The 20,293-nt window shown below is 46.5% G+C and overlaps 1 protein-coding gene across 11 annotated transcripts in view; it reads left to right on the top strand.

Annotated features, from left to right (window-relative positions):
• NPIPB2 (nuclear pore complex interacting protein family member B2) overlaps nucleotides 1-14,258 on the top strand; it is a 49,381-nt gene extending 35,123 nt beyond the window's left edge. For 3 of the 11 annotated variants that reach the window (XM_047434579.1, NM_001355514.1, XM_024450431.1), the window contains 6 exons: nucleotides 3,853-3,981; nucleotides 7,597-7,696; nucleotides 7,860-8,004; nucleotides 12,076-12,136; nucleotides 12,246-12,281; nucleotides 13,642-14,258. In XM_047434579.1, the coding sequence (XP_047290535.1) occupies nucleotides 3,853-3,981; nucleotides 7,597-7,696; nucleotides 7,860-8,004; nucleotides 12,076-12,136; nucleotides 12,246-12,281; nucleotides 13,642-14,148 (978 nt within the window). In that variant the 3' untranslated portion in view covers nucleotides 14,149-14,258. Of the gene's footprint in view, nucleotides 1-3,852; nucleotides 3,982-7,596; nucleotides 8,005-9,666; nucleotides 11,454-12,075; nucleotides 12,137-12,245; nucleotides 12,282-13,641 lie in introns of those variants that run through there. The other 8 variants (NM_001395855.1, NM_001395854.1, NM_001395853.1 and 5 more) reach the window with 6 other exon arrangements.
• Nucleotides 14,259-20,293: the final 6,035 nt, after the last annotated feature.

Here is a 20,293-nt window from a genome sequence, read left to right as displayed (position 1 = left end):
CCTTCCACCAGCGCTTGAGAACTTAATTTGAACCGGATCCTTTCCCAGACCCCTTTCTTCTTCTCCTCCTCCTCCTCCACCTCCTCCAGGTGCCCAACAGCCCCCTTCTCCTCCTTTCCCTTCCCTTACTTCCCCCCTTCCTCTCCCCTTCCCCTCCCCCTCCCCTCCCCCTCCCCAACTCAGATCCGGCCCGGTCCCTGTCCCCTTCCCTCCCCCTGCCCTAAGCCACCTCCACCTCTGTCCTGGCCGCCTCAGGGCGCCCTGAAAGGACCAGGACATGCGGGTGCTGTGGATGCTCTTTTGGCTCCTCTTTTGGCTCCTGCTGGAATTTATCAGCCATCAGTCCACCTGTGTGAGTAGACGCTGGACCCGCGGGGTTTCTTCCTTTTTACTGGGCTGTGTCACGCGGCATGAAATTACACAGCTCAGGCCTGTAATCCCAGCACTTTAGGGGGCCGAGGTGGGCAGATCACTTGAGTCCAGGAGTTGAAGACTAGCCAGGGCATCATAGCGAAACCCCATCTCTACAAAAAATTCCAAAAAAGATTAGTCGGGCCTGGTGGTGCGTACCTGTTATCCCAGTTACTGGAGAGGCTGAGGTGGGAGGATCGCTTGGGCCCAGGAGCTGGACGTTGCAGTGAGCCGAGATGGCCCCGCTGCACTCTTGTCTCTAACAAACAAAATGGACCAAAACAAAGTGAAATGTCATTTGATTTGTGTCATCTGGTTTGATGACTTTTTTTTTTTTTTTTTTTTTTTTTTAGACAGAGTCTCACTCTGTCGCCCAGGCTGGAGTGCAGTGGCAAGATCTCGGCTCACTGCAACCTCCGCTTCCGGGGTTCAAGCAATTGTCCTGCCTCAGCCTCCTGAATAGCTCAGATTACAACGCCTGGCTAATTTTTGTATTTTTAGTAGACCACCACGCCTGGCTAATTTTTGTATTTTTAGTAGAGACGGGGTTTCACCATGTTCGCCAGGATAGTCTCCATCTCTTGACCTCGTGATCCGCCTGCCTCAGCCTCCCAGTGCTGGGATTACAGGCGTGAGCCACCGCGCCTGGCCAAAATATATAACCTTAAGTGTAAGTTTACTAACTTTGGAAAGTACATACACCAGCATAAACCAACCCCCTTTCAAGATCTACATTATTTTATTTATTTATTTATTTATTTGAGACAGTTTCTCCCTTGTTGCTGAGGCTGGAGTGCAATGGGGCAATATCAGCTCACCGCAACCTCTGCTTCCCAGGTTCGAGCGATTCTCCTGCCTCAGCCTCCCGAGTGGCTGGGATTACAGACATGTGCCACCACTCCCAGCTAATTTTGTATTTTTAGTAGAGATAAGGTTTCTCCATGTTGGTCAGGCTGGTTTTGAACTCCCGACCTCAGGTGATCCGCCTGCCTCGGCCTCCCAAAGCGTTGGGATTACAGGCGTGAACCACCGTGCCCAGCCAAGATCTACACTATTATGTCACCCCAGAAAGTGAACTCTCACTCTTCCCAGCCAGTCTCTTTCTTATCATAGGTTAGCTTGCTTATTCTGGAATTTCGCGTATACAGATGCATGCCATGCCATAGGTACTCTTTTGTGTCTGCTTTGTTCTGCTCAACACCATGTTTCTGAAATCATTACCATTGTTGTATGGTTCTCTAACTCCATCATTTCCATTTCAGACTCAGCATATGCTGAGTTCAACCTGTTGAAGGGCTATCTCTGTTTAATTCACCATCTTGAAAGAAACATTTAAAATTGAGATGTTTTCAAGAATATATAGTTAAATCCTGAGGAATCGATGTAGAAATGTTATCACAAGCTGTCTGAACTTACTCAGGGGAAGTCTTCGTCTTCACTCACATAAGAGTCTAATGGAATTAATATCAACAATCTTAGAGAAATCCCACACTATTCATGCCATTTTCATGATCTCCACCTTGGTAATTTTTTTTTTTTTTTTTTTTTTTGAGACAGAGTCTCGCTCTGTCACCCAGGCTGAAGTGCAGTGGTGCAATCTCGGCTCACTGCAACCTCTGCCTCCCGGGTTCAAGTGATTCTTCTGCCTCAGCCTCCCAAGTAGCTGGAACTATAGGCGCGTGCCACCATGCCCTGCTAATTTTTTGTATTTTTAGTAGAGATGGGTTTCACCGTGTTAGCTAGGATGGTCTCAATCTCCTGATCTCGTGGTCCACCCACCTTGGCTTCCCAAAGTGCTGGGATTGCAGGCGTGAGCCACCACGCCCGGCCCACCTTGTTAATTTTTAAGCACTAAAATTTGATACTTATTTGTGAATGAAGTAATCTCTTCATTGTATTTTTTTTTTTACTTATGCTGAGATTTAAATGACAAAGATTCATATAATCCAAGAGAGAAGTATTATTTAGAGGGATTCTTTTACCATATGATATATAATAAATGCATCCAATGTTATACATCAATTTAAAAAACAAGTAAATAACTTTAAAGAAAAGATAACTACTGGCCAGGTGCAGTGGCTCACACCTGTATTCCCAGCACTTTGGGAGGCCAAGGCAGGTGGATCACGAGGTCAGGAGTTGGAGACCAGCCTGGCCAAGATGGTGAAACCCTGTTTCTACTAAAAATACAAAAATTAGCCGAGCGTGGTGGCAGGCGCCTGTAATCCCAGTTACTCAGTAGCTGAGGCAGGAGAATCGCTTGAACCCGGGAGGCGGAGGTTGCAGTGAGCTGAGATCATGCCACTGCAATCTAGCCTGGGTGACAGAGCAAAACTTTGTCTCAAAACAAAAAAGAAAAGATAATTACTTTATACTTAGCTTGTCTTACCCATGAGTGACGGGCTGCATGTGGCCCAGGACAGTTTTGAATGCAGTTCAACACAAATTTGTAAACTTTCTTAAAACATTAGGAGATTTTGGCCAGGTACAGTGGCTCATGCCTGTAATCCCAGCACTTTGGGAGGCTGAGGCGGGCAGATTACCTGAGGTCAGGAGTTTGAGACCACCCTGGCCAACATGGCAAAACCCCATCTCCACAGAAAATACAAAAATTTGCTGAGTGCACTGTCAGGCACCTGTACTCCCAGCTACTCAGGAGGCTGAGGCAGAAGAATCACTTGAACCTGAGAGGCAGAGGTTGCAGTGAGCCGAGAGCACACCACTGCACTCCAGCCTGGGTGACAGAGTGAGACCCCATCTCAAAAACAACAAACAAAAACAAAAACAAAAAAATGGCCGGGCACGGTGGCTCACACCTGTAATCCCAGCACTTTGGGAGGCTGAGGCAGGCAGATCACCTGTCAGGAGTTCAAGGCCAGACTGGCCAACATGGTGAAACCTCATCTCTACTAAAAATACAAAAATTAGTCGGGCATGGTGGCAGAGACCTGTAATCTCAGCTACTCGGGAGGCTGAGGGAGGAGAATGGCTTGAGCCCAGGAGCTGGAGGTTGCAGTGAGCCGAGATTGCACCACTGCACTCCAGCCTGGGCGACTGAGTGGAGCGGAACTCTGTCTCAAAAACAAAAAGAGGTTTTTTTTAGATCATCAGCTATTGTTAGTGTTAGTGTATGTTATGTGTGGCTCAAGACAACTTTGCTTCTTTTAATATAGGCAGGGAAGTCAAAAGATTGGATATCCCTGCTTTATACCAAGAAAGACAACACCCCACATTTGCAATGCCTAAAAACACTACCAGCCATCTGAAAAACATGTGACTTCTAACTTCTGTTCTTTTTTGTAACAGTGGAATCCCACGGTGATATCTGAGGGATGTGGTTACCTTTTGGAGGAGGTTGACGGTTTCTAAGGATGATTCTTTCTGAGTGAAATATTGTCAGTGTCATTGACCTTTTCATTATTTCAACTATTATTATTCCAGGTTATCAATACTCTGGCTGACCATCATCATCGTGGGACTGACTTTGGTGGAAGTCCTTGGTTACGTATCATTATTGCATTTCCGAGAAGTTATAAAGTTGTCCTTACCCTCTGGACAGTTTACCTTTGGGTGAGTGTACTAACTTTCTGTAGAGGTATACTTGTAATCACAAATAAGAATAAATTATATAAAACAATTCACATTTCTGGACTTCATTATGAATATGTGGTTTTACCCAAAAAATCAGGGAAATGATTTATTAGCATAAGAATTATGAAAATATCTGCCATTTACATTATGAAAATTAAATAGGTCAGTGTTTGTTTAATAGAATGTCAACAGAGCTTTTGGTCAAAAATAAGTTTTTTTAACCTTTGTGCTATTTGTCACAAATGGAGTATGAGGTTTCGTCACTTAAATAGGAAATTCTTTCTAAACTCTTCTGCTTTATAGTTCTATCGTATGGGTGGAAGGAAAGCTTCCAGTCTCGTCTCTGAAGATTCACTGCAGAAATGAGCTGAAAAGACAGCTTAACAGGAAAAGAAAAACATAGAACAGGCATAAACATGGGAACCAGCTGAAAAATGAGACTGCTAGAAGGGCTGGATGGTTGATGCTTAAAGAGCACCCTCTTCTGAGGGGAGAGGGAGATAGATGGAGATGTAGGCCATTTAGAGGGGCAGCAAATGATTTTTAGGGGAAATGAAAGAGCCCAAGGAACAAACAATTGGCCTGAGACAAAGTTCCTCTGAGGTCATAGGGACGAGGTGACAAACTGCCAGAAGGTGAAGGGCACAACTGCACTGCGTCTCATGATGCAGAGAAAGCCCCAGAGAATCTCTTAGAACTGCCCTCCAAGAGAATCAATGAAAAGTGTGTCTGGGCAGGGTAATTTTGAATGACATCATTCAAAGTGCATGTTCCCACTTGCAACTGGAGAGAGATCAGTATGTCAAAAGTCTGTACTTGGTAAGAATTTGGCTGCTAAGTTGTGCCATAATTTGTCTTTTGAGCCTTTTTTCCTTTGGGTAAGTTGAGCTCTACATTTTGTCTTGCCATTCATGACAGTAAAAATGTGGTTGTCTGGGGGCTGAACCTCCTTCTGAACAATGATCCAAGATAAAAGTACTAATACCACAATGCTTTTTGATATTCAAGGGAAGAGGAAGTATGTTTCAGTTTTACCACCTAGATAATTACACGTCATTTGGCACTGCCTTTCAAGATATGTAGAAAACAGAAAATATATGAGTTATGAAGATATCTAGGCACATTTAACATTCTCTATGCCACTTAGTCCTGAACAGAGAATTTTCGGTATAAATTGGAGGAAGCTTTTTTCTTTTTTTTTTCTTTTCTCACCCTCAAGACGAGTCTCCCTCTGTTGCCCAGGCTGGAGTATAATGGTGTGACCTCGGCTCACTGCAACCTCCACCTCCTGGCTTCAAGTGATTCCCCTGCCTCAGCCTCTCAAGTAGCTGGGATTACAGGTGCCCACCACCATGCCCAGCTAATTTTTGTATTTTTAGTAGAGTCGGGGTTTTACCATGTTGGCCAGGCTAGTCTCAAAACCCGACCTCAAATGATCCACCCACCTCAGCCTCCCCAAGTGCTGGGATTACAAGCGTGAGCCACCACGTGAGCCAGGGGAAGTTTTTAAATTTACCACTTTTTAACAATTCCACTTAGGAAAGTTCAGTTGAGCTGTTGGACTTGGACAACTTCGCACCTCTCATCTTTGTCCTTGTCATCTAGTCATCTATACCATTACCTCCTAAGCAGGGATATCATGGGTGCCATGAAGCATTCATGCGTGATGGCATTTCTTGGCTTCTCATTTCTTCATGTGTTTGAAATTTCCCCTAGCTCCAAACTGGGCCAGCTACCTTTCCTATGAAATCTAGCAGTAGCTGTGGGATTGACGTGGTTGCTCTTTTCATCTTTTTAGATTACCCATTGCTTCTCTCGAAATCCTAGTACATGATTTTTTTTTATCCTATGTGCAGAAATCAGGAAAAAACAAATTCTACAAAGAATTTGAAAGATATTATTTCAGGCCAGATGTGGTGGCTCATGCCTGTAATCCCAGCACTTTGGGAGGCTGAAGCAGATGGATCATCTGAGGTCAGGAGTTCAAGACCAGATGGGCCAACATGGTAAAACCCCATCTCTACTAAAAAGACAAAAATTAGCCAGGCATGGTAGCAGACACCTGTAATCCCAGCTACTTGGGAGGCTGAGGCACAAGAATCGCTTGAATCTGGGAGGTGGAGGTTGCCGTGAGCCAAGGTAGCGCCACTGCACTTCAGCATGGTTGAGAGTGACACTCCGTCTCAAGAAAAAAGTCATTTCAATGACTACCTCAGGAGATTCATAGGTATCTGACCCACATCTGAGATGGGATTTGCATTGCATTTTAGCTATGATGAGAACAAATATTTAATATCTTAGAAGATTAAAAGCATACTGTGATAATATGGAAATCTTGGTGGGAATTCAGTCATTAGTGAGAATGTTTTGCGTTAAGTTCAAACCAGCCTCAATGAAGCTGATGTGAGGGAAGGGAAAGTGAACTCTGAGTAGAGCAGGGACAGAAGGAAGATGCTCCAGTGCAGATCAGGAAGGAGCAGGGGGTGAAATGTTACAAATTCTAGAACTCAGAGAGCTGAAGGTAATTACTTCCTTTTCAAGTTGTGAAACATGTTAACCTGTGGTAAAATACTTATAAGATGATAATTACCATCTAACCGTGTTGAAGTGTACAGTTCAGTTGTGTGAAGTATATTCAGGTCATTTTTTTTTTTTTTTTTTGAGACAGAGTCTCACTCTGTCACCAGGCTGGAGTGCAGTGGTGGGATCTTGGCTCACTGCAACCTCTGCCTCCTGGGTTCAAGCAGTTCTCCTGCCTCAGCCTCCCAAGTAGCTGGGGCTACAGGCGTGCATCACCATGCTCAGCTAATTTTTGTATTTTTAGTAGAGACGGGGTTTCACCATGTTGCCCAAGATGGTGTCCATCTCTTGACCTTGTGATTCACCCACCTCAGCCTCCCAAAGTGCTGGGATTACAGGCGTGAGCTACCGCACCTGGCCTATTTTTTTTTTTTTTTTTTTTTTTGAGACAGAGTTTCAATTTTGTTGCCCAGGTTGGAGTGCAATGGCACAATCTCAGCTCACCACAACCTTTTCCTGCTGGGTTCAAGTGATTCTCCTGCCTCAGCCTCCTGACTAGCTGGGATTACAGGCATGCACCACCATGCCTGGCTAATTTTGTATTTTTAGCAGAGACAGCGTTTCTCCATGTTGGTGAGGCTGGTCTCAAACTCCCGACCTCAGGTGATCCGCCTGCCTCGGCCTCCCAAAGTGCTGGGATTACAGGAGTGAGCCACCGTGCCAGCCTCATGTCATTCTTATGTGTGTGTGTGTGTGTGTGTGTGTGTGTGTGACAGAGTCTCATTCTGTCTCTCAGGCTGGAGTGCAGTGGTGTGATCTCGGCTCACTGCAACCTCCGCCTCCCAGCTTCAAACGGTTCTCTGCCTCAGCCTCCCGAGTAGCTCGGATTACAGGCGCCCGCTGCCATGCCCGGCTAATTTTTGTATTTTTAGTAGAGACGGGGTTTCACCATCTTGGCCAGGCTGGTCTTGAACTCCTGACCCCGTGATCCACCTGCCTCGGCCTCCCAAAGTACTGGGATTATACGCATGAACCACCGTGCCCAGCCGTCATTCTTATATTATTATTTCCTAGTTGTCTTTCCTGAAGACTATCTTCCAGTCTGAAAATGGACATGATGTATCCACAGATGTACAGCAGAGAGCCAGGAGGTCCAACCGCCGTAGACAGGAAGGTATGGCTCTGTTGGAGTCCCCATAGTGTGGAAATGAGTTTGCCCTGGAAAGGGAAAGAACAGCTTCTTGCCCTCAGGTTTCTCACCTTCTCCTCTCCTCACTCTCACCAAGGGCTGAGGTCCATTTGTATGCACACAAAGAAAAGAGTTTCTTCCTTTCCAGGAAATAAAATTGGCCTGAAAGACGTCATTACTCTACGGAGACATGTGGAAACAAAAGGTAGAGCTAAAATCCGTAAGATGAAGGTGACAACGAAAATCAACCATCATGACAAAATCAATGGAAAGAGGAAGACCGCCAAAAAACAGTAAGATGTGCCTTGACACAAATATTGTTGTATGAACCATGTGCCAATCAAAGTAGACAACTGTAAAGTCCTTGAGAATATTTTCTACAATATTTGTGGCAAATTCAGTGGGTTCAAAATTGAGTTTGTCCTTTCTGCTTCATTAGTTTAAGCTGTATAATTCCTTTCCCTTCCTACATTCTTGTTTGTCATTTTTTCAGGGGAAGAGGAGTTGCTAGTACTGGCATTGGTTTTCCTTTCTCTGTCTCTTTTTTTTTTTTTCCTGAGATGGAGCTTTGCTCTTGTTGCCCAGGCTGTAGTGCAATGGCACAATGTCAGCTCACTGCCTTTTGGGTTCAAGCAATTCTCCTGCCTCAGCCTCCCACGTAGCTGGGATTACAGGTGCCCACCACCACGCCCAGCTAATTTTTGTATTTTTACTAGAGATGGGGTTTCACCATGTTGTCCAGGCTGGTCTCGAACTTCTGACCTCAGGTAATCCACCTGCCTCAGCCTCCCAAAGTGCTGGGATTAGAGGCATGAGCCACCACAGCCAGCCTTTTTTTTTTTTTTTAATTTTGAGATAGAGTCTCGCTCTGTCGCCCAGGCTGGAGTGCTATGGTGCAATCTTGGCTCACTGCAACCTCTGCCTCCCAATTTGAAGCAATTCTGCCTCAGCTTCCTGAGTAGCTTGGATTACAGGTGTGTGCCACCACATTTGGCCAATTTTTTTTTTTTTTTTTTTTTTTTTTTTTTTTTTTTGAGACAGAGTCTCACTCTGTCACCCAGGCTAGAGTGCAGTGGCATGATCTTGGCTCACTGCAACCTCCACCTCCCAGGTTCAAGCGATTCTTATCCCACAGCCTCTTGAGTAGCTGGGACTACAGGCATATGCCACCATGCCCGGATAATTTTTGTATTTTTAGTAGAGGCGGGGTTTCACCATATTGGCCAAGCTGGTCTAGAACTCCTGACATCATGATCCGCACACCTCGGCCTCCCAATGTGCTGAGATTACAGGCATGAGCCACCGTTCCCAGCCCAATTTTTGCATTTTTAGTAGAGACAGGGGTTCACCATGTTGGCCAGGCTAGTCTTGAACTCCTGACCTCAGGTGATCTGCCTACCTCAGCCTCCCAGTGTGAGCCACCGCACCCAGCCTGGATTGTTGAATTCAATGCTTGGGTCACCTCCAGATTCATTTTCACAGTCTTTCATGTTTTGGTCATATTACATTGTATTTTGCTGCCATATGACTGATCTTTTTTTGTTAAATGTGAGATACTTGTTAAAAAATATTTAGCAATGAATTGAGGCCTAGTAGCATGTTATCTTGCTGCAGAAGAGATGGGAGTCTACTTCTGGGGGATGGTCAGGGGTCCTCCATACAGGCTGCAATTGAGGTCGTCGGTGCAGGCTCAGTCCCTACAAAGGCCAGGGTATTTCCTGTCCACCTCTATTCTGATGCATGACTCTTCTGGGTCTCAACCAGAGCCAGTGGACTTCAGTATGGGTCGCTTTCATTGGCAGACCCTCAATCCACTTGTTTTCCATCTAATCCCACGCATGTGTGCAAAAGCTGCTGTGCTTCTTTGCATCTCAGTAGTTCCTTCTGGAATTCAGCAATGAAACTCAGGGAAATGGGTTCCAAATGCGAAGCTGACTTTCGTCCTGGGTTTCCTTCTTCTCCATCTTCACCTCTTGTCTGTTTACTGCCATGTTAGCAATTTGATGTATTCAATCATGGGTTTTATATTCTGTTTGGTGTCCCCCATTGTTCTCATCGGAGATCAGAAGCTTCAGATGCACTTATGTCAACTCAAGAGTAGAATGCTTCCTTAGCTTCCCTCCAGAGTCAGGTTTTGTGTTTCTAGTTCCCAAGTGCACAGCAGGAGTAGTGATGTCCTCACTGGCTTCTCATTTGCATTAAGCTGTGAGCTTCTTTAGCGTGGGGACAGGACCCTGCTCCCATTGCATTCTCAGCACCTCACCACACACACCTTGTTTGAGGCCACTCCAGACAGCATGTGCTGAAGGATGCCTTGTGGTCAGAAACAAGTTCATTAACTTTCTCTTTGAAGTGTTTTCGCCCCTGTTTCCTAGCGTTCTGGGAATTTTACACATCCTTCCTATAAAACCAAGTATCAGGTGAGATCCTTAGGATCAGGACCATGAATCAAGTGGTGTGAGGGCAACACAGCAAACTTACCCTTTTTAGGCCGTTTCCTTTTTCTGCCCTCAATCTCTGTGAACTGAACCTTGTTAAAGTCAGTCAACACCAGGGTGGATGGTTTGCCGTTGTCACCTATTTTCAGGACATAACACCCTGACTTAGGAGCCATTCCGATCATTTCTAATTCAATAGATGCGCCCAGCATTCAGATTGCCTTTTCTCTCAACCAGGATCTTTAAAGTCGATGACAAAAGTTCCAGTCCTGAATCATGGCAAAGTGCAGTAGTGAACTGCGGGGTTATTCTGGAAGGATCTCTCTATGGCTGATGGTCTCAGTTCCGGCATCAGCCTCTGACTGAGAATCAGGTCTCACACAGGAGGAGTCAGATGAGGAGCAATCCTCTGCTTCCGATGGAGTTAGTTGTGATGAATTGGTGAGGTCTGGTTTTTCACACTGAACTAAAATGAGCTTTCGCTGTGTCAAGCACAAGACTGACCCCAGAGACACACATAGTGCACCTCATAGAAGCTTTTAATAGTCTTTATATTTACTAAAGAATAGGACTAACTATGGAACTATGAAGATGAGCTGGAAATGACAGGTGACTTGCCAGCAGGCCAGAGTGTGACTTTTTTTTGTCCCTCAATGGGAGGTGTCAATTCTCCCTTCGGTTGTGAGAATCAGTTGGTTCATTTGTGGGAAGGTTGCAGGGGGGATCTTTGAATCACAGCCTTCAGATGCCAGAAGGGCAGAGGGAATCCCACACGGGCTGGTGGATCATGTGTGTGCATTTCTCTCCCTTCTAATCTGAGGAAACTAAGCGTGAAAGAATGTGAGCATGCAGAAAAGGAGAGGCAGGTGTCAGAGGCAGAGGAAAATGGGAAATTGGATATGAAAGAAATACACACCTACATGTGAGTTCAGAAACTGAACCCCACCCTCTTGGGAAACGCCCATTGGAGTGTTGTTTTTAACCTTTGTACAATGTTTAGACCCAGTAAATGCAGAAATAGAAACAAATGGTCAGAAGACATATCGTGAGAGAGAGAGAGAGTTCACAAAACAGAAAACAAAGTACCTTAATATTTACCAGTGACCAAAAGATGTGAAGTAGCAAAACGGCTCCTGACCCCATTGCCAGCTAGACTGTGTGGAAACTCGGTTCATACCAGCCATTCTAGGGGTGGGGTGAGTTGTTGTCATCCTTAGGAAAGTGTGTTGTTGTAGGATCAACCACATCCTTCAAAAGGACTATGCCTGTTTATAAGCCCAGCTGTTTCTGCCCTGTGAAACACGGTAAAGATATTAATACAAAGAGAATACAGCTTTATGATAAAAGATGCTCAATGAAGGATGAATTAGGGATGTACTGAGAATGGGGAAGGAAACTATCATCTCAGAAGTCAGCAGGCAGTAAGCAAGAGGAGGAATCAATACAGCAACAGTTTGGATCAGACTGTACAGTTTTTTGTTTTTGTTTTTCTGAGATGGAGTCTTGCTGTGTCACCCAGGCTGGAGTGCAATGACGTGATCTTGGCTCACTGCAACCTCCGCCTCCCAGGTTCAAGTGATTCCCCTGCCTCAGCCTCCCGAGTAGCTGGGATTACAGGTGCCTGCCACCACGCCTGGCTAATTTTTTGTATTTTTAGTAGAGACGGGGTTTCACCGTATTAGCCAGGATGGTCTCAATCTCCTGACCTCGTGATCCATCCGCCCCGCCCTCCCAGAGTGCTGGGATTACAGGCGTCAGCCACCGTGACCGGCTCAGACTGTACTCTTATAGCCATCTGAAATACGTTTTCTAGGTAGAGATAGATTGTGTAAGGGTACAGTTGTGAGGATAACAGAAACATGGCAGATTATTTAAAATCATCCTGAAAGTGGTGCTTTATCTGATGAAAGTGATTGTAATCCATAGGAAAATGTTTCAACGTGCGCAAGAGTTGCGGCGGCGGGCAGAGGACTACCACAAATGCAAAGTAAGGAGCTTCCTCCCTGCAGTTGCAGGATAGTTCAGTGCTGATGCAGATGATGCCACGGCCCTTAGACTCTCTCAACATTCAATTTCTCATGTGTTGGCTTTTTCAGATCCCCCCTTCTGCAAGAAAGGCTCTTTGCAACTGGGTAAGTTTGCTTGTTTTCCTTGCTTTTGGACATAGTCTGCCAGGTCAGGACATGGATACATTTTTCTCCCTACAGCTCTGTGCTCAAGCCCTGCAGAGGGAGATGGCAGAGAGAAAGGCTGCCTACAAGCATCACAGTCCCATCCCTGTTGGTAACCGTGTTGCGCAAAAACACCTTCATCCCCACCCAGTGGGGCCCCTGATCTAATATTCTAAGTGTCAGAGGTTCCGTATTTGTAATAGCAGATGGGCCCTGACTGTAAACTAGTGAAGAGTGAATGTAACTTATTACCCACAGGGACAATTCCAAATGAAGGCCTTAAATGATGCTCAGCTAAGCTGGTTCTTGTGTGGCCTCTGTACCTTCAAAAGCTGCCGAGTCCTATGATTACACGTGATGGGACTTGTACACTTGAAGTGAAACACAGTTTTAAAACTTGCTTTGTTTAGAATTCCCACCTCATTTTTCCATGGACAAAAGTATTCTTTATGTCCTAGTGCACTTACAATTTGGTATTACCTGGGAGTGAAAAGAAATATTACAGCCATGCCTAACTGACTTCTTGAGGTGAGATTGTTCTGTCAGAAAACCCTCTCCCAGTTCCCCTGCAGCTCTTCAGGAATCCACATCTCTCCAGAGCTCTTTGTTCTCATGGGTGGCACCTCCAGAGTGAAGAAGATCCTTTGTCAAGAAGGGAAACAGAGGGGAAATGAGAGGGTCCTGCAGGCAGAGCTGGAATCAACTTCCACTCTGCCTCTTGCAAGCTGTGTGACCCTGGGCACAATTTCTCCTTCCTCTGGAAACCTCTGTTTTCTTAGATTTGGAGCAGGGTGGTCACACTGACCTTGCAGAGTTCTGAGAATCAGAGACAGAACATAAAAGGCCTGGAAAACATTCTCCAAAAAGAAGCTGCAACATGTGTGGACAATGGGCTTTTCATGCCTCTCTTACTGTCTCTTACTGTCTGTTGACCTGGTGCAAGAAACATGCTCTGGTGATGGCTGTGAGGGAGGAATGAGGATAGACATAGACACTCCTGTGTCTCAAACATGCTTCTTTATTACTCTGTTATGACTCTGTCTTCCCTGGGGCAGGACCCCAGCCTGCCTACATTTGCAGACAGACACAGTGGCATGTGGAGACAACAGTGTGTCCCAGTGACTTTTCTTTACCCTCCAGCTGTTGGCAGTACTCAGTGGAAGGGTGATATTATGACACTGATACTGCTATTTTGAAACCTGGAGGATGGAAAGGTGCAAAAATCTATCACCAGCAACAGAAGGTGCAGACTGTGTTGGTGGCGGTAATTTTGTCCATCAAATGAATATGTGTGAAAACATTCCCTCCTTTGGCCCTACAGGTCAGAATGGCGGCAGCGGAGCATCGTCATTCTTCAGGATTGCCCTACTGGCCCTACCTCACAGCTGAAACTTTAAAAAACAGGATGGGCCACCAGCCACCTCCTCCAACTCAACAACATTCTATAACTGATAACTCCCTGAGCCTCAAGACACCTCCCGAGTGTCTGCTCACTCCCCTTCCACCCTCAGCGGATGATAATCTCAAGACACCTCCCGAGTGTCTGCTCACTCCCCTTCCACCCTCAGCTCCACCCTCAGCGGATGATAATCTCAAGACACCTCCCTTAGCTACTCAGGAGGCTGAGGCAGAAAAACCACCCAAACCCAAGAGGTGGAGAGCGGCTGAGATGGAATCACCACCCGAACCCAAGAGGCGGAGGGCCGCTGAGGTGGAATCACCACCCGAACCCAAGAGGCGGAGGGCCGCTGAGGTGGAACCATCATCACCCGAGCCCAAGAGGCGGAGGTTGAGTAAGCTGAGAACAGGCCATTGCACTCAAGCCTGAGCAATAAGAATAAAACTGAGTAGAACAAAATAAAAAAATCAAAAAACAAAACAAAACCCACACTCCAAAAACAAACTAACAAAGAATAAATAAATAATATAAAAATAAAATAAATACTGCAGTCCTTATGTTATTGCTTTGTTTTGATATCTGGTATGATTGCCTGAGGGACCTGAGGTTGTTAATCATAGGGGGTTTTTTTAATCTTTAGAAGTGGTTGGTTATGTAAAATATTATTTTTTTTTTTTTTTTTGAGACTGGATTTTGCTGTGTCACCCAGGCTGGAGTGCAGTGGCTCGATCACAGCTCACTGCAGCCTCAACCTCCTGGGCTTTAAGCAATCCTCCTGCCTCAGCCTCCCAAGTAGCTGGGATCACAGATGTGTGCCACCACGCCTGGCCAATGTTAAAAAATCCTTTAACTTTTTTGTAGAGATGCACTCCTGGACTCAAGCGATCCTCCTACTTGTCCCGACCACCAGCCCCTTTCTGATAAACATTTACACTGTTTATTATCTGATGCCATTTCTATCTTCTTCCTTGTCGTCCAGACATCAAAGAATTAGGTTTCTTCAGGGTTTTCTTTTTCAAGTGCTCAGTGTTAAAGATCACTCACATTAGGGCCAGACACCACGGCTCATGCCTGTAATCCCAGCACTTTGGGAGGCCGAGGCGGGCAGAGCACTTGAGGTGGGGAGTTTGAGACCAGCCCGGCCAACTTGGTGAAACCCCACCTCTACTGAAAAAATACAAAAATTAGCTGGGCGTGATGGTGCATGCCTGTAGTCCTAGCCACTTGGGAGGCTGAGGCATGAGAATCGCTTGAACCCAGGAGGCAGAGGTTGTAGTGAGCCAAGATCACATCAGCACACTCTAGCCTGGGTGACAGAGCGAGACTGACTCAAAAAATAAATAAAATAAATATCACTTACATTAGATATACCCAAGGGGTGGTCTATGGAGACTTGGAGGCAGTGGTTATTGCAACAGGGGCACGGAAGTCATCTGGCTATGCCAGGGTGCCCAGGGGATACTCGGGGTGGGTGGCATGGTGCTGCTGGGGACTCACCGCACAGGACGCTCTGATTGACGCACTGCCAGGAGTAGCGCTCTGTCTTGGGGCTGCAGCCGGCCTCCTCAGCTCGAGTGTAACAACAGTCGTGGCCATGGCAGCACCTGCGGATGTCACATGGGCAGGACAGCAGGTGGGTGAAGCTCTCTCCTGGCCCTCCTCTCTTGCCAGGACCATGGGTGACTGAAGACCCCCAGGGAGGCACAGCATCCTCTTATCTAAGTTTTTTTTTTTTTTTTTTTAAGAGACAGGGTCTTTCTCTGTCGCCCAGGCTGTACTGCAGAGGCACAATCATAGCTCACGGCAGCCTTGAACTCCTGGGCTCAAGCGATCCTCCCACTTCAGTGTCCCAAGTAGCTGAGACTACAGGCACACGCCAGCATGCCCGGCTGGTTTTTTAATTTGTATTTCCTTTGAGACAGCATATCTCTCTGTTGCTCAGGCTGGAGTGCAATGGCTCAATCAGCTCACTTTAGCCTTGAACTCCTGGGCTCAAGTGATACTGCCACCTCAACCTCCCAAGTCTGCTACTACAGGAACACAAACTCCTTTTTTAAATTTTTTGTGGATATGGGGTCTCACTATGTTGCCTAGGCTGGTCTCGAACTCCCAGGCTCAAGCAGTCCTCCTACCTCAGCCTCCCCAAATGCTGGGATTACAGGTGGGAGCTACTGTACACCTGGCCTTATCTAAGCTGTTTCCCTGAAAATCCCCGTCTTGGGTAATGATTCCATTGGCCCCACCATGCCCTGTCCTGCCTTCCTGGCTGTGCCCAAGCTTGGTCCCTGCCTGCCTGCCTGCCTCCCTCTCTGGGTCTCGAGCTCCTGTGACACATGACTCCTCTCTCTTCCTGGAGTGATCCAAGCCCTGCCACTTCCTGACTTTGCCCACACTGTACCCTCTGCCTGGGGCAACTTCATGTCTGCCCATTGTCCCTTAGGCCTCAGCCCAGGCACAAGCCCCTGCCTCCGGAGGTCATCCAGGCCTCACCAGGCTACACCCTCTCGTAAAATTGGATTCCCTCCCTTCATGGCAGGTTTATAATGAAATCCTCCTCAGAGGCCAGGTGCGGTGACACCCATCTGTAATCCCAGCACTTTGGGAGGCTGAGGTGGGAGGATCACTTGAGGCCAGGGGGTCGAGACCAGCCTGGGCAACATAAGAGAGACTCTTGTCTCTATAACAAATTTAAAAATTAGCTCACCAGGCCAGGCTCAGTGGCTCATGCCTGTAATCCCAACACTTTGAGAGGCCGAGGCAGGTGGATCACGAGGTCAGGAGTTCGAGAGCAGCCTGACCAACATGGCGAAACCCTGTCTCTACTAAAAATACAAAATTAGCCAGGCATGGTGGCACACACCTCTAATCCCAGCTACTCGGGAGGCTGAGGCAGGAGAATCGCTTGAACCCAGGAGGTGGAGGTTGCGGTGAGCCAAGATCACGCCATTGCAGTCCAGCCTGAGCAACAGAGCAAGACTCTCTCTCGAGACAATAAAAACACACAAAAAATTAACTCGCCATGATGGCACATGCCTATAGTCCTAGCTACTTGGGAGGCTGAGGTGGGAGGATCACTTGAGGCCAGGGGGTCGAGACCAGCCTGGGCAACATAAGGAGACTCTTGTCTCTCTTGTCTCTATAACAAATATAAAAATTGGCTCACCAGACCAGGCTCAGTGGTTCATGCCTGTAATCCCAACACTTTGAGAGGCCGAGGCAGGCAGATCACCTGAGGTCAGGAGTTCGAGACCAGCCTGGTCAACATGGTGAAACCCCATCTCTACTAAAAGTACAAAAATGAGCCGGGCTTGGTGGCGTGCACCTGTAATGCCAGCTACTCAGGAGGCTGAGACAGGAGAATCACTTGAACCCGGGAGGTGGAGGTTGCAGTGAGCTGAGATTGTGCCACTGCACTCCAGCCTGGGCGACAGAGTGAGACGCCATCTCAAAAGAAAAAAGATTGTTTTATTTCTCATTTATTTATTTAAATAAAAAAATTGTTTATTTAAAACATGAAAGAAGGTGTTGAGGCATTGGCAATTGGCAATCGGCCAGGCGCAGTGGCTCACGCCTGTAATCCCAGTACTTTGGGAAGCTAGGGTGGGCGGATGGCTTGACCTAGGAGTTAGAGATCAGCGAACATGGCAAAATCCCATCTCTACAAAAAATACAAAAAAACTAGCCAGGTGTGGTAGCTCGTGCCTGTAATCCCAGCTACTCGGGGGGCTGAAGTGGGAGGATTGCTTGAGCTTAGGAGGTGGAGGTTGCAGTGAGTCAAGTTCATGCCACTGCACTGCAGCCTGCATGACAGAGCAGCACCCTGTTTCAGAAAAAGAAAAAAAAAAGGCAATCTTGAGATTCCAGGTAAGTTTGTGAGTGATGGTGATTCTTTTTACTGTTCTATATTTATACTGTTGTATATTTATAAAATTGTATATATATATTTTTTTTTTGAGATGGAGTCTCACTCTATTGCCCAGGCTGGAGTGCAGTGATGCAATCTTGGCTCACTGCAACCTCCACCTCCCAGGTTCAAGCGATTCTCCCGCCTCAGCCTCCCTAGTAGCTGGGGCTACAGGTGCGTGCCACCACACCCGGCTAATTTTTTGTATTTTTTTGGTAGAGACGGGGTTTCACTGTGTTAGCCAGGATGGTCTCGATCTCCTGACCTCGTGATCTGCCTGCCTCAGCCTCCCAAAGTGCTGGGATTACAGGCGTGAGCCACTGCTCCCGGACAAAATTATATTTTTTATTTTTTAATTTATCTTTTGTAGAGACAGGGTTTTGCTATATTGCCCAGGCTGGTCTTGAACTCCTGGCCTCAAGCACTCCTCCTGCCTCAGTTTCCCAGAGTGTTGCAATTACAGGCATGAGCCACCATACCCAGCCTTAAATTCTCAAAGCTGAAAAAAATTCCCCCTTTCCCAACTGTACTCCTGCCCCAAACAAATTGAATCAAGGAAGACAGAAAAAATATTTTGGTAAAGACTTGGGAACCCAGGCTGAAGTCTGAAAGTCTGAATAATTTCACATGGGATCTTTTTTTTTTTTTTTTTTCTGAGACAGGGTCTTGCTCTGTCATCCAAGCTAGAGTGCAGTGGTATGAACAGGGCTGCTGCAGCCTCAGCCTCCTGTACTCAAGCGATCCTCCCACCTCCGCCTCCTGAGTAGTTGGGACTACGGGCATAAGCCGTTGCACCCTGCGTTAACTTTTTACTTTGAAATAATTACAGACTCACGAAAAGTTGCAGAAATGGTAGAGAGGTCCCAAGTACCCTTCACCTAGCTTCTCCCAACAGTAAAATCTACCATAACTATAGTACACTATCAAAATTCAGGACATTGACATTAAGACAGCACAACTAACTAGACTACACACTTTACTGTGATCTCACTTGTTTAACCTTTTATTTTTGACTTCTTTAAGTTACAAAAGCAATTTGTCCATCAACGGATAAACAAATTGTGGTAAAATCCATACAATAAAATATTAGTCAGCCATTAAAAGGGAGTAAGTGGCCGGGCGGGGTGGCTCACACCTGTAATCCCAACACTCTGGGAGGCCAAGGCAGGCAGATCACAAGGTCAGGAGTTCGAGACCAGCCTGGCCAACATAGGGAAACCCCCTCTCTACTAAAAATACAAAAATTAGCCAGGTATGGTGGCTCATGCCTGTAGTCCCAGCTACTCGGGAGGCTGAGGCAGGAGAATCTCTTGAATCCGGGAAGCAGAGGTTGTGGTGAGCCAAGGTCGCACCACTGCACAGCAGCCTGGGCGACAGAGCGAGACTCTGTTTCAAAAAAAAAAAAATGGGATGAAGTACTGATGCCTGCTTCAACATGGATGAACCTTGAAAACATTATGCTAAGTGAAAGAAGCCTGCCAAAAAAGGTCATAGTGCTATTGTGATATAGTAAGAGATATATACTTGGGCTCTGCCCCCAGTTTCTGGCACAGAGGTTCTAAAACTCTTGACATTTCCTGAGCAATAGAGGTGCTAGGTGCATCATTTGTTCTAATATTTGGTATTTGACCCGGGTTCCTGACACAGAGCTCCTAATCCCTTGGCATTTCCTAGGTGAAAGGAGTGTCTTTTGTTCTAATCATACAACTCTTTTTTTGTGTGTGTGTGATGTAGTCTCACTCTTGTTGCCCAGGCTGGAGTGCAGTGGCACGATCTCGGCTCACTGCAACCTCCACCTCCCGGGTTCAAGTGATTCTCCTGCCTCAGCCTCCCAAGTAGCTGGGATTACAGGTAGGTGCCACTATGCCCCGCTGATTTTTTTTTTTTTTTTTTTTTTGAGACAGGGTCTCACTCTGTCGCCCAGGCTGGAGTGCAGTGGAATGATCTTGGCTCACTGCAACCTCCACCTCCCAGGTTCAAGTGATTCTTGTGCCTCAACCTCCTGAGTAGCTGGGGTTACAGGTGTGCATCACCATGGCTGTCTAATTTTTTTGTATTTTTAGTAGAGACAGGGTTTCACCATGTTGGCCAGGCTGGTCTCAGACTGCTGACCTCAAGTGATCCGCCCGCCTCGGCCTCCCGAAGTGCTGGGATTACAGGTGAGAGCCACTGTGCCCGGCCTAATTTTTGTACTTTTAGGAGAGACGGGGTTTCACCATGTTGGCCAGGCTGGTCTCGAACTCCCGACCTCAGGTGATCCCCTCTCCTCAACCTTCCAAAGCGCTGGGATTACAGGCATGAGCCACAGCGCCCAGCTGGCTATTATATCTTTAACACATCTCCAAGCTTTCCTCATCCGCATTTTGAACAGGGAGGGCTTCAGCAGGTAATAGCATCTGGCCTACATGTATTTTGTTTCTTTTGTATATGTTTTGTTTTGGTTTTTGTTTCTGTTTTTTTTTTTTTTTTTTTTTTTTTTTGACACGAAATCTCACTCTGTTACTCAGGCTGGAGCGCTGTGGGGTGATGTCAACTTACTGCAAACTCCATCTCCCAGGTTCAAGCGATTCTCCTGCCTCAGCCTTCCAAGTAGCTGGGATTACAGGCGTGTGCCACCACGCCCAGCTAATTTTTGTATTTTTAGTAGAGACAGGGTTTTGCCATGTTGAC

The sequence above is a fragment of the Homo sapiens genome, chromosome 16 (assembly GCF_000001405.40).
Source record: "Homo sapiens chromosome 16, GRCh38.p14 Primary Assembly".
Lineage (NCBI taxonomy): Eukaryota > Metazoa > Chordata > Mammalia > Primates > Hominidae > Homo > Homo sapiens.
The sequence above is the reverse complement of the archived record's forward strand: the minus strand, read 5'-3'. Positions and strand labels throughout refer to the sequence as shown.